Raw genomic sequence first — 15069 nt, forward strand, 5'->3', positions numbered from 1 at the left:
CCACAGGCTTCCAGGACACACCCACATATGAGCACAGGGTGGGCTGGAAGTGCCCTGGAATTGACTGCCCTCGTTACCAACCCGGGACAGCAGCCCTACCCAATGACTCACAGGTGTAGGGGTATAGAAACCCCACCTCCCTTGCCTTCTTGGCCAGGATAATTCTGAGGCATGGCTTTCCATCTGTTCCTCACAGGACTGTCAGTCACCTACTGGCTTGATAACAGATCCCGTAGGGGCTGACTCTCTTTCCTCAAATTGATTGCCCATTCCTTTGCCGATGGCCCTACAACTTCCAAATATATTTTATATTCTCAAACTCCTATCAGAGAATGCTTCTGGAGAAACCCCAGCTAAGAGATTATATTTGTATCCGTGGCATAATTAGTATTTAAGGGTTGATAGTAAAATTTGTAAGCAACATTTAAATTATCAAGAAAATATTGTCTTTAAAAAATTGCATATGATCTAACAGATAATTTTATTAACTGGAACGCTAAGCAAAGCACAGGAATTCACAGTTGTTTGTCACCAGGCACAAACATTTCTTATACACTGGATAATACATTAATGTCTGATAGTCAAACTCCTAATCCACTTCCTAAAAACAGCCCAAATATTAGGGTTTCATGGACCCCTAGTGAATTAGCTGTTTCATCCTCTCTATTCTCGCAACATTTGATTAGTATTTCTGAAACAGCTTGCACCATGCTGCACTGTAATTTATCGGTTTACATAGGTGTGTGTGTTTCCTAGACTATTTCCTGAGTTCCTGAAAAGTACAGATCAAGTCTCATTTGCCTTTGTCATTTCCACACCACATTCTGGACTTGCCACATTATTGGCTGTAATATTGATTTGCTGGGAAAAGAAAAAGAATAAATGAATGAAATAAAAGGCACCAGTCCTGTCCAATAGACCATATTATGTGTCCTCAAGGACTAAGGCTGTTTTATGTATCATCAAAATCACTCCAGCACTATGCAGAGATCATACTAAACAATTAAGGCTTAGTGTTGAAAACTAAGTGACTGAGTGAATGAATAAATGAATTAGTGAATGAATAATTAGTGAAGCATATTGCCAACACCAGGTTGTTTTTGAGCAATTATTGCTAAATCCAACTTACTCTTTACTTTTTTGGTAGAATGTAGCTTAGCTTGGTTGTGATAATGTTTTGTTAATCAAATAACAATATAAGTTAATTTAGACTAATAGTTTTGGCTCCTCAGCATGATTTTAAAACTTGACTTTGTCATCCATCATACTGGATATTTCTTCTAGCTTTGTATCAGTCATAAACGTAGCCAATCTTCCCTCATATCACTGTAATGGAGACTTTTGCCGGCTCAGTCCATGGCTTACTTAGGGGTACAATCAGCCATGTAGGCCAGGAATTGGAAAACCATGGCCTATGAGTCAAATCAGGCCTGCAGCTTGTTTTTGTAAATAAAGTTTTATTGGAACACAGCCACATTTATGTGGTACATACTGTCTGTGGCTGCTTTCACACCTCATTGTGTGAAATTCTATAATGACAGAATCGAGTCATAGTTGTGACAGAGACCATATGGCCTGTAAAGTTTAAAATATTTACTATCTGGTCCTTTACAGAAAAATTTTGCTGATGCTTGTATTAGTCTGTTCTCACACTGCTATAAAGAACTACCTGAAACTGGGTAATTTACGAAGAAAAGAAGTTTAATTGACTCATACATAGTTCTACAGGCTATACAGGAAGCATGGCTGAGGAGGCCTCAGGAAATGTACAATTGTGGCAGGAGGCAAAGGGGAATTAAAATTCAACATGAGATTTGGGTGGGGTCACAGACCCAAACCATATCAATCCTTGATTTAGATGATAAATCTAACAGTGAACTACATGCCACCGTCTTGTGCATAAGGCCTCCCCTGAGCCTTGTTATGTGCCCTGTTGAAATCAAGATACATTGTGCTCTTACCTCTGTCATTGAAGTAACATTATCAAGGAGGCAAGTGCAATTTTATAGTACAAATGCCTCTAGTGAACCCAACGGATTTCTAGTGATCAATACATTAGGAAACAAAATGTTCACTGAACATATATGTGATCCTTGTTTTGGGAATTCTATCCCTGTGATAGTGAGCCTGGGGTTAACCATTCTGTGCTGGAAAAGACTTGGAAAAAATGAGGAGTGAACCTCTTTTTCACTTCTCTAGCATTCTTCTCTATCCCATTCCCACAAATGGAGACCCTTTGGTGCTAGATTAAGCTAATGGTTGGCTTTATCTCCCTGGATCACAGTTTTGTCATCTATAAGATATTAGTTTTCAGAGTTAATATGAGGATCAGATGAGATAATTAGTCGCTGTAAAAATAACTATAATTACCAACATTTAGTGAATGCTTTTTGCAGACACTGTGCCAAGAAATTTTAACTTTCATTATCTCATTTAATTCTCATAAAACATAGTGAAAATTGCCCCCAGTTTACAGGCAACATACAGATATATTCATTTGTCCCTTAAGCAAGTATTCATTTTATTTATTATTCATTTTTTAACTCACAAACAAAAATTGTATATATTCATGGTGTACAACATAATGTTTTGAAATATGTATACATTGTTGAATAGCTAAATCAAGTGAATTAACATATGAATTACGTCACATATTTATTTTGGTGAGAATGCTTAAAATCTATTTGCTGATTTTTAAATATACAATGCGTTGTTATATGATAGATCTCTTGAATTCTTGAATGTATTCCTCTTGTCTAACTGAAATTTTGTATGTTTTTACCAACGTCTCTGCAGTCCATTACCCCCTCACCCCCAGCCCCTGGTAACCACTCTTCTATTCTCTGCTTCTATTAATTCAGCTTTTTTAGATTCCACATACCAGTGAGATCATGTAGCCTCTGTCTTTTTGTACCTGGTTTAATTCACTTAGCATAATGTCCTGCAGGTCCATCCATGTTGTTACAAATGGCAGGGTTTCTTTCTTTTTTAAGGCCGAATAGTATTCCATTGTGTATATATACCACATTGTCTTTATCCACTTATCCATTGATGGACATGTAGATTGGTTTTATAGCTTGGCTGTTGTGAACAATGCTGCAATGAACATGGAAGTGCAGATAGATCTTCGACATTCTGGTTTCATTTGCTTTCGATGTATACCCATTAGTGCACTGCTGGATCATATGGTAGTTCTATTTTTATTTTTTTTAGGAAACCCCATACTGTGTTCTATAAATGGCTTTATTTATATTCCCACCAACAGAGTTTCACTTTTTTCCATATTCTTGCCAACACTTAGCTTTCATCTTTTTGGTAGTAACCAATCTAACAGGTGTGAGGTGATATCTCACTGTGGTTTTACTTTGCATTTCCATGATAATTAGTGATATTGAGCTTTTTTTTCATACATGTGTTGGTCATTTTATGTCTTCTTTTGAGAAATGTCTATCCAACATAGTAGTGGAAGTCCTAGCCAGGGTAATTAGGCAAGAAAAAGAAATAAAAAGCAGCTAAATCAGAAAGAAAGAACTTAAATTATTTATGTTTAGAGATGACATTATCTTATATATAGAAGACTCCTAAAGACTCCACAAATAAAACTGTTGGAGGTAATATAAAAATTCAGCAAAGTGGCATGATACAATATCAACAAAAAAATCAGTACTATTTCTATACATTAACAATGAGCTGTCTAAAAAAGAAAGCAAGAAAACACTCTCACAATAGCTACAAAAAATAAAATACTTAGAGATAAATTTAACAAGGAGGTAAAAGATCTCTACACTGAAAACTATAAAACACTGATGCAAGAAATTGGACTAGACACAAATAAATGGAAAGATATCTTGTGTTCACGGACTGAACTAATTTATATTGTTAAAATGTCCATACTACCTAAACTGATCTCCTGATTCAGTGCAATCTCTATTAAAATTCCAATGACTCTTTTCACAGAAGTAGAAAAAAAATTCTAAAATTTATATGGAATCACAAAAGATCCTGAAGAGCCAAAGAAATTTTGAAGCATCACATTACCTGACCTTAAAATATACTACAAAGCTATAGTAATGAAAACAGCATGGTACTGGCATGAAAACATACACACATAGACCAATGGAACAGAATAGAAAGTCCAGAAATAAATCTACACATTAATGGTCAATTGATTTTTTGACAAAGATGCCAAGAACACATACTAGGGAAAAGACAGTCTCTTCAATAAAAGTTGTTAGAAAAAGTGGATATCCAGCTGGGTGCAGTGGCTCATGCCTGTAACCCCAGCAAATTGGGAGGCCAAGGCCGGAGGATCACCTGAGGTTGGGAGTTTGAGACCAGCCTGACCAACATGGAGAAAACCCCATCTCTACTGAAAATACAAAATTAACTAGGCATGGTGGTGCATGTTTGTAATCCCAGCTACTTGGGAGGCTGAGGCAGGAGAATCACTTGAACCTGGGAGGTAAAGTTTGCGGTGAGCTGAGATTGTGCCATTGCACTCTAGCCTGGGTCTCAAAAAAATAAAAAAAAATAAAAATAAAAGAAAAAGAAAAACTGGATATCAAAAAGAATAAAATTGGACCCTTGCCTTACACCATATAAAAAATAATCTCAACGTACATTAAAAAGTTAATCTTGGCCGGGCGCGGTGGCTCATGCCTGTAATCCCAGCACTTTGGGAGGCTAAGGTGGGTGGATCACGAGGTCAGGAGTTCAAGAGCAGCCTGGCCAAGATGGTGAAACACCATCTGTACTAAAAAACCCTGTCTCTAGTAAAACTACTAGAAGAAAACATGGAGAAAAAGCTCCATGATGGTAGTTTGGGCATTAGTTCTTTTGGATCTAACCCCCATAAAACACAGGCAGCAAAAGCAAAAATAGACAAATGGGATTACATCAAAGTAGAAACTTCTGCATAACCAAGAAAAAGTCAACAGAGTGAAGAGATAGCCTATGGAATGGGAGAAATTATTTGCAAATCATGCATCTAATAAAAGGTTAATATGCAAAATATATAAGAAATTCAACTCAGTAGCAGAAAACAATCAATTCAAAGAAGGGGAAATCTGAGCAAGTATTTATTAGGCACTACTATAAGCCAGGTACTATATCCCAAGTACTATTCTAGCACTTGGGATACATCTTTGAACAAAACCAACAAATGTCCCTACCCTCATATATGTGGAGAGTGGAGGCAAACAATAAACAACACATACAATAATAACAAATGTATTTAATATATTAGAAGATAATTACTGCTATGGAAAAATGAAAGTAGAACAGGGAAAGGGAGACTGAAAGTGCTGGAGATAGGTTGGGGGAGGGAAGAAGTGATCAGGGTTGGCCTCATTGAGAAGGTGATGATATCAATGAAATCTTGAAAGAAACAAGGAAGTCAGCCCCATAGACATCTGAGAGAAGAGCCTTCCAGTGTCACTAGCTTTGGTTGTGGCACAACCAGGATTCCAAGTCAGCTCTGTCAGACTGCAGAACCCAAACTCACAATAACCAAGGTCAACAAATGTTAGTTCCCTGCTCAGTCCTCTCCAAGAAATGTGCTGTGAATTCCTGTTTTTTTTTTTTTTTTTTTTTTCCCTTGGCTGTTGCCTACATTCATTCTGGGCTTGCCTTGCCTCAAGCCATTCCTATAGGTCAACATGGATGTCCCATCTTTGTCTCTGATCACATGCTCTGCCTTTATTATGGGACCTTTTCAGACCTGATGGCTTCTGAGGGCCATGGTGCTGCCTTTCTGGCTTCAATTCTTGTGTTTTCCCTGGAGTAGTTTGTGATTTCATCTCAGCAATCCTCCTTCAGAATCTTCTGGCCCTTCTAAGTCGTGTAACTATTTAGCCTACCAAACATCATGCCCATACTTTCTCTGTGTAGACAGCTGTACTTTTATCTTCTCTGTTGTTGTTTGCTCAAGAAGCCAGAGTCACTTTCTGTCACTTACAACCATAGGACTCTGATACCACGGTTTTAAAAGAATCTAATTTCTTAGGAAAGTAGTTTTTTTGGTTGTTGTAGCTTTCCAGTGCTGGTGTTTTTTCTTCCCTTATTATTAAAAATCTCAGGAAAGTAGAGTTACCTTTTTATGGCCTACTGCCCCTCTGTCACTACTAACGCCTTTCTTTTCAAACCCAGGCTTAGTCCTCAGTCACAGGTTGCTTTATTGGTTCATCGGCACCAAGAGGTTGAAACAGTCTTCAACGTAGCAACTCTCCAGACCCTCTATTTTTAGCTGAATTAGATTCCTAGCAGATGTCTGGATAGTAGACGTCTCTCTTAATTACCATAACTTGTCTGGGTGCCATTTTTGAGATCCCCAAAATAGAGATTGAAAATAGAACCCACCTCATAGGGCTGTAGTGAAGATCAAATGCAAAAAGTGCATACAAGGACAGTTATCACAGTACTTGGCCTTGGCATGTAGTGAGGATTTCTGCGCGTCAGCTATTCCAGTTAGAGGGAGGCACTTTATTTGTGTTGGAGAGAGAGAGACAGACTGTTTCAGCTCAGCTCCACTACTCATCAGCTTCGTGATTCTGAGTGATCGCTCATACTCCCTAGGCTGTAAAGCTGGAGTGATAATAGCAATTTGAGTAGTACATGTAATAAAAAGTATAAAATAATATGTATAAAAATCCTAGAATAATAACAATTTTAGTATTAAATGAGATAAAAAGCATAAAAATGCATAAAATTATGTGAATAAAAATGTTGAAATAATATCAACTAAGTATTGAGTCCAATAAAATGTACAAAACACAAACCCTATAATAATAAAAGCAATTTGAGTATTGAATGGGATGAGTATAAAATGAATATTAATGCTATCAATCAAATATTAAGTAAAATAATATGTGTAAAGGGCTGAGTATGGTGTCAGACACTTTGTATAAGCACTTGAAAAATACACTCCAATGTTATTGTTGTTAATATTATTGACATTGTATTACCACACATCTCCTCACTGTTAGAACGTGTTGCTGTCAAGGTTGTCCTATGCGATAAAGCTCCTCTTTTGGGAGATACCAAGTGAGCACTTAATAATAACAATTCTGATCATGCACCATTACTCTTTAGGCATATATTTACCGTGTTAGATTGTCTTTTCTTCAACAATCTCATGAGCTCTCACATGAAAGTGGCTCCAAACAGAAATTGGCAGTCAAATTGGGATTTTACAAATTTTATCTCTAACAATATTTTTATACCAAAAGGCTAAATAGGATCTTTTAGGAATTTGAGAGTTCTCAAAGGGACTAATTTTCTCCAAAGAACTAGGTCACATAAAGGGAGAAGGGGAATGAGCATTACCCTCCAAGAAGCTATGTATATAGGAAGACAAAAATTAGTTCTATCTATTAGAGCAGATTATTTGGTTTAGAATTAAGTGAGAGAAAAATTATATACAAGTGACACCATAAGAGTATCCTGGAGCCTGTATGGCTAGAGGGGAGTAGTTTGCTGAGAAAATAGTTATTCATCATCACCGGGTCATGGCTGTGTGCCATTATCTTTCATTGCCCTGGAGATTCACTCTGCTCCCTTCTTGCTGCTCAGTGCCTTGGAGGCTACAGACTGCCTCACCGGGGCTCCTGGGCCCCCTGCTTCTAGTTAGGTGGCTAATGGAGAACGCTAGATGGAGCAAAGAGGGTGAGGGTACCTTGGGCTGACTGTGTCCTTTGACTTAATGTCACATGTCCGGTCGGGAGCAACTTTTCTCTATGATGCTGTCTTGCTGGACCATGAGTTTTTTGAATGAAGCTAGACTCTAAGCTCTGTGAGGAGACATTCACCAGTGTCTACTCTGTTCACCACTGTACCCCAGCACAGTGTCTGGCCCAAAAGAGGTGCTTGATAAATATATTTCTATCAAAGGAATACACTGGGGATGCCTCACTAAATTGCATTCTAAGAAGAACCACCACCTAAACCTGCCTTGTGCACTAGCTATAAAAAGAAGCCACACTCTCTCTGAGCAGGAGTTCTTAGAAATAAAGGCTCTTAAAATTCCCATCCACAAGCTGTGACTGCATCATATTAGTGATTTCCACTGGATTGTGCATGAGGTCCCAGATGTTTGAATCTTTTATTTTACAGCATTTGCTTTTCTGTGAGGTTCCAATTAATTGAATTGGGAAAAGCTGTAAGCCCCGTGACAGTGGAACTATCTCTTTGACAAAACCACATGCTGTAAAGTCAAAGATTCTTCAATATCCTTTTTGTTTAGGTCCATAAGGCTGAATGACTGACTTGACTGATTTTCTTTTTTAATATGTTTGCTTTAGCAGCTAGAAATTTTGATGTCACACATATAAAGGCCACAGGGTCATTTGGGGAAACCCACTTAGGTGGCATGTCTTCCTAGAGCATCATAGGATAATCTGGAGGAGAATCTGAAGAATTCCTTTTGTTACATTCTAGGCTATTTCTTCCTGAGATTTGAAGATGCATTTTCTCTCTGTCATTTTCTCTCATCAAAGCCTCAATAAATGTTGTCTTTAGCAACAACCGCTCAATTCTACTGTTCTTGTGCATACTAACTCCCCCCACCCCTCACCTCTCAAACATCAGTGATATTGCATGACATAGTGCATTCCCTACCACTGATAGCCTATTTCTTTTTTTGTTTGCTTGCTTTTGTTTTCATTTTGTTTTTGAGACAGAGTCTCATTCTGTTGCCCAGGCTGGAGTGCGGTGGCATGATCTCGGCTCACTGCAACCTCCACCTCCAGGGCTCAAGTGATTCTCGTGCTTCAGCCTCCCCAGGAGCTAGGATTATAGGCGCTCATCACCATGCCTGGCTAATTTTTGTATTTTTAGTGGAGATGGGGTTTCACCATGTTTGCCAGACTGGTCTCGAACTCCTGACCTTAGATGATCTGCCCGCCTCGGCCTCCCGAAGTGCTGGGATTATAGGCGTGAGCTACCGCACCTGGTGGTAGCCTGTTTCAACTCACCATATGTGAAAGTCTGCAATTGCATTTTCCTCACCCATCAGGGTGATCAGTATTCCACATCGTTCTAATCATGTGAATCCTTGTTGTCCATCAGCTGGCAATGACTCAACAGTAGACTCTCGTTTATTTTTCCCAGGACCGCTTCTGTTTGCTAACTGCCCTAATTTTGGTTTCCCAGAGGTCAAGTCTGATCAGGGATTGAAGTACATGCAATTTGTTGAGAGAATGCCCTTAAGAAATAACTGAGGGAAAAGGGGAATGAAGATAGGGAAGGGAAATGCTGAGTAAAGATGTAATCACAGGTAAAGTCTAGTCTTGGCCTGATCCATGGGGGTATTCCTGCCTTAATTTGCCCCATGAAGTTGTCTTTGCTACTTGAAGCAAGGAGATTGCCAGTCATGAACTGTGGGCTGCCTCTGGTCAATGGCGTTTCCTTTGGATGAAACAGTTCTTGTCCTCCTAGGGCATATGATGGAAATGGAGAGCACCTGTGAGCTGTTAGCAGCCAGAGTTCATAGCAACTTCACTTGACTAGTAAAGGGGCCTGGGTGGGGTGCTCAGAGCATCTGCTACATTAACTTGTATGATCTCATAACAATCCTATGAGGAAGAAGTCATTATAATTATCATTTTACAGATGAGGCAACATCTTGGGTTGTGTGTCTCAGAGACAGATCCTGAGACTAGATTTATGTGGTTTATTTAAAAAAAGTGTTACCAATACTTTAGAACTTCTTACAGAAAATTCAAGCAGGTGTAAATGAAATCCTCTCTAACACATTCTATGAGAATAGCACTACCTTAATACCAAAACAAGATAAAGACATTACAAGAAAACTACAGACCCAGTATCTCTCATGAACAAAAACCCTCAACAGAATATTAGGAAATAAAATATAAAAATCTATAAAAAAAATACCACAACCAAGTAGAATTTATTGTAAGTATGCAAGGCTGGTTCAACATTCAAAAATCAATCATTGTAATCCATTATATCAATCGGTTAAAGAAGCAAAATTATATAATATCAACTGATACACAAAAAGCAGTTGACAAAATTCAACACCCATTTATAATAAAAAATTAAGCAAACTAGGAATAGAGGGGAACTTGTTCAACTAATAAAACATATATACAAATTATTTACAGCTGATATCATACTTAATGGTAAGAAATTGGACATTGTCCTTCAACAGAATAAGGCAAGAACGCCGTTGTTTACCACTCTTATTCAGCATTGTACTGAAAGTTATAGCTACTGCAATAAGACGAGAAAATGAAATAAAAGATATGCATGTTGAAAGGGAAAAATAAAGCTCTTTATTCACAGATGATCTGATTGTCTGAAAATCCCAAAGAATCCACGAAAAAGAAAAATCAGTCATGGGACTAATCAGTGACTATAGTAACGTTGTGAGATATAAGATTCATTTACAATAGCATTAAATTTTTTTAAATGAAGTGTTTAAATGTAAGTAAAATAAGTACAAGCTGTATACATGGAAAACTGTAAAACACTGATAAAAGAAATCAAAGAAGATCTAAATAGATTGAGATATATTGTGCGTTCACAGATTGGAAGACTATTTTTAAAATGTCAGTTCTTCCCAACATAACATGTATATTCAATGCAATCTCAATCAAATTCAAGCAACATATTTTGTAGACATTGACAAAGAATTCTAAAGTTTATTAGGAAAGGCAAAAGACCTAGAATAACCAATAGAATACTGAAAAAGAAATCAACAATTGCCAGGGGTTTGAGGGAAGGAGAAAGGGTTGTGTAAGTCAAGTTTGAAAGGTTTTTTACAGTAGTGAATCTATTCTATATGGTACATTAATGGTTGATATATGACGCTATGCATTCATTAAAATTCATAAGTTTATAGTATAAAGAATGATCTTTGGTGCACGCAAATGGAAATATTTAGGAAGTTGTAAGATTCCAAGATGAAATGTAGAATGTAACAAAAGAATCTAACTGTTTTACAAATGTATAAACCAACTTTACTGAAGGGGCTGAGAGAAAAAAGAGAGAAAAAGTTGCTGATCTAAGTAACTTTGAAACGAGTGGAGTCTGTAAGATTAAGTATATAAGCACTGTCCCCTAGTTGATAAAATTGTTTCCTATAGGAGTATGGGTTAACAACTCTGAAATCTCTATTCATAGATAGTGAAAATGTAAATCAGTGACAGATAGCAGAAGCCATCATTTCTCACTGTTGGTGCTGGAGGTTATAGACAAGCAAGGAAAGATGGCTAGAATGATTTATTAGATAGTGAATTAGAGTCAGAGACATTAGGGTGAACATACTTGGCTTAATATATAGATATGTGTATATATGTGTATACAGAGATTAGTGTATATACATACATGTACACATATGTATGCATACATATGTATGCAAGTATGTACACATGTATGCATGTATGTACATATATATGTATGCATATACATACGTACATACTGATATATATTTTTTAAAAATATGTTTTGGATGATCAGTTTTGAGGTATACTGCTCCATTATCTGGTAGAATGCTTCTCAGGTGGGGTTTGATAATCCAATATAACCTGTCAATATTGATCTGTCACTTGAGGGGTAATGACACCCCAGTAGCCATCTAACACGCAGATCTTGGCTTCTAATACAATTTTCAAATAAAAGTAACTAGGGCTCCTTGAAGAAATTGCTGATTCTAGGACTTGGATAGCATTACACAAATGAGCTTCACAGCTTCTTGTGCCAGAAAATAAGAAAGTGATGGAAATAAAAATGTAAAAACTGCACAATGATGGTGGTATGTTGAGGGGCACAGGATCCAGCTGAAAGAGTTCTCAATGGCCCCAGCTAGAACAATTTGTGCAAAAACTGGTGTACATTGTAGTATAGCCTGAAGTATATAGTAAATATGTATGAGTTTATGTTGATATAAACAAATGATTGAACAAATTAATAAATAGGAGACAAATCTCCCATGCAGAAGAATTCCAAATAATGTACATAGATACTTCACTTGCAAGGACGTGGATTATAATTCCCTACTCCCTAGGTGTGGGCTACAAGTAGTGACTTCCTTAAGAAGAGTACAGTATGGAGAGTGGGGAGGAGAGTAACTTTAGAGAGTGTATAGTCTTTACATATTGTAATGAAAATGACACTTTATTTCTGTGGTCTTCTTTTCTCAATTCCACACCTTTAGTTTAATTATGAGAAACATATTAGACAAATCTCAACTGAGGAGCATCCTACCGGATAATGGACCAGTATACCTCAAAACTGGTTATCCCTAATGAAGAAAGCCTGGGAAAATGTCATAGCGAAGAGGAGCCTAGGGAGGCTTGATAACTAAATGTCATGTGGGATCCTGGATGGACTCCTGTAGCAAAAAATGAACATTAGGTGAAAATTAAGGATATCAGAATAAAGTATGGCCTTTACTTAATAATTATCTATCAATATTGAGTCCATTATTGTGACAAATGTATCCTATTAATGAAATATGTGAATAATAGAGAAAACTGGATGTGGAGTATATGGAAATCTTGTAGTATCTTTGCAAATTTTTCTGTACATAAAACTACTCTAAAATGAAAACTTTATTATTATATTAAAAAAAAGAGAAAGTGTTTCCCGAGGAAATTGGTATGGGAGTGAAAGAAACAGAGTAGGGCAGGACAACAGGGTGAGATTTTGAGTGAAGACCCAGCCTCAGCCTGAACCTGTGCAGGAGCTCTGGAGGTAAATTGCACAGCAGACTTTATCCTGTCCATAGTTGAGGCTGTTGGACATTGATATTCCTGCACGAGTCACTGATCACAGATGCCGCTGGGGTCATAAACTCCTAGACTCTGTTTGTTTGAGCAAAGTGGCTCCAGAAGTCCATGGGTGATCTTCAGAAGAGAATAAGGTGAAAGCATGCTGAAGTGGGTGCACCATGGACACACCCAACTGATTAAGGGGATTATTCAAGGAGGTTTAGGCAGCACCTTCAGTATTCACTACCCTGAGCCACAGAGAAAATAACTCACTTACCAACAGTCACAGCACTGGCAGGTCACACAGCCAGAATTCACAGCTGGGCTACGTGGCCTAGAGCTGGCACCCAACACTACATGGTAGTATGCTGTCCTGAAGGCTCTGCAACTCTCACAAGGCTTGCAACTCTCAATGACATTGAGAATTACAATTCATGATTTCCTGCACTATTGAGGGTCTGGGAGATAACAGTGGATATGCGGATTATGTTCTGACCCAAGAAGTTCCCACAGAGAAATCTCTGAATACCATGCAAATCTAGGAGAAAAGATATTCTGTAAATATGTATTGAATGAATGCACATTTTTAGCAAAAAATTCAGTGGATCTTAACTAACGGTGACAAACTGGGCACTGACTTTTCAGGCTGGGGAAGAGAGAGAACTGATGGGGCTTAGCAGAATCATCATCACCATCAGAAATTGCCTCCAGCAAAAAAAGAGTCCTGTCTGACAAGCTGTGGCCATAAATGTCTATTTCCCGCATTGCCCCCAATACCAAAGGTCCACATATGTCCCATTAAACAATTTCCAAGTGACAGATCCCAGGACACCAGGCTGCCAGAAGAATCATTGCTAATGCAGGTTTTATAATCTCCACTCATGTAACATAATTGGATTAAGGCTGTTTCCCAAGGAAAGAAGCAAAATGGTGCTTAGTGTGGACAACTTTTCTTTACAAGCAAGCTGTGTGATAACAGAACAGAGATTACCATTCCTAACCACCTGCCACCATGAACCTGGAGGATGCTTATTGTAAAAATGCCTCTTTCCTCCACCAGGGTAAGGCAAAAAAGTCAGTGCTACTGTTAGTGGAATTTATTTATGGCTCACCTTGCTCTGTTGCTTTTGGTTTCTCGCCCCTCTGATTTCTGCTTCTGCTGCTGCTTTCTTGCTCTTATTTTGTCAAGAATCCAAAGTGTTCTGTTAGTTACCATGTGTTAGTCAGCCTATACAACAGGCTGCTGCTGTAACAATTAACTCTGACATCTCAGTGGATTAAGTAAAACAAGGCTTATCTCCCACATGAAGTGCCTTCTCACATCTTTCTAGTTATGTTGTCTGGAACACATGGTCTGCAAGAGAGGAGAAGGGTGTTAAGGCACACTAAGTCTTCATTACCTCAGCCTGAGAGATCCACATGTCACTTCCACTCCGAGTTCTTTGGCCCTATGTAGTTGCATGGCCCCCACCTGACTGCAAAGGAGTATTCAGTTCTTTGGTGAGTGTGCCAAATTTCTAGAAGCTTGAGATTACGTTTTTGTTCCTGATCGATTGTGTTTTGAAGATAATAAGGAAGTATGAGATAGAGGCTGGTATAATAAAGTCAACTCATAATTTGTAAAAATGTGTTGTCCATTATAATAGTAGCCATGTCTGGCTATTTCATCTTAAATGTACATGTAAATTACATTTTCAGTTTCTCAATTACATTAGCCATATTTCTATTGTTCAACAGCCCATGTGCCTAGTGACTATCATATTGGATAGTGCAACATGGGACATTTCCATAAGTACAGAGTTTTCTCAAGCATTCGAAAATATTTCAGAACATTCTAGAATGTTCTAGAGCAAGTGACTACTATATTATGACTCTAACAGAGGCTTTTAAGGAGTTTATCCAGGCTTCTGGCTTAAGGTTTTCTTTGGTGAAAATCAGCCTGATGTGCTTTAGTGATTCTGAAGCTGTGTTAGGAAGAGATCCATTCTGATTTTAACTGGTTTGCATGCTTTTATGTAAGATTTAGCTGAAACAATGGACTTCATGGGTGAGAAAAATTTGAAAATCACTAGAGGAATGTAAAGAGGCTAAGGGGGCATAAACATCTGAATTTAAATCCTTTTCCTTCCACTTATGAGCTATGAGATCTTGGAGAAGTTAACTGATGAGCAGATCCACAGATTTACCATCTCTAGAGACTGAGATGGAATGTCCACCTCACAGTGTTGTTACAAAGGTGACAGGATCCAATGTGTGAATGAACTGCGTGGATCCAGTGCTTTTTAGTAACAACTCAGGAAATGATAGATATCCTCATAATCATCACTGTAATTCTACAACG

The 15069-nt window shown here is 37.9% G+C and overlaps 1 long non-coding RNA gene across 2 annotated transcripts in view; it reads right to left on the minus strand.

Annotated features, from left to right (window-relative positions):
* Window positions 1–14500, minus strand: part of LOC101928392 (uncharacterized) — a 30379-nt gene extending 15879 nt beyond the window's left edge. For both annotated transcript variants that reach the window (NR_188569.1, NR_188568.1), the window contains exons 1-2: window positions 14200–14500; window positions 13841–14082 (exon numbers count right to left, since the gene is read on the minus strand). This is a non-coding gene — a long non-coding RNA (uncharacterized LOC101928392). The remainder of the gene's footprint in view (window positions 1–13840; window positions 14083–14199) is intronic.
* Window positions 14501–15069: the final 569 nt, after the last annotated feature.

This window comes from Homo sapiens, chromosome 16 (genome assembly GCF_000001405.40).
Source record: "Homo sapiens chromosome 16, GRCh38.p14 Primary Assembly".
NCBI classification, from domain to species: Eukaryota; Metazoa; Chordata; class Mammalia; order Primates; family Hominidae; genus Homo; species Homo sapiens.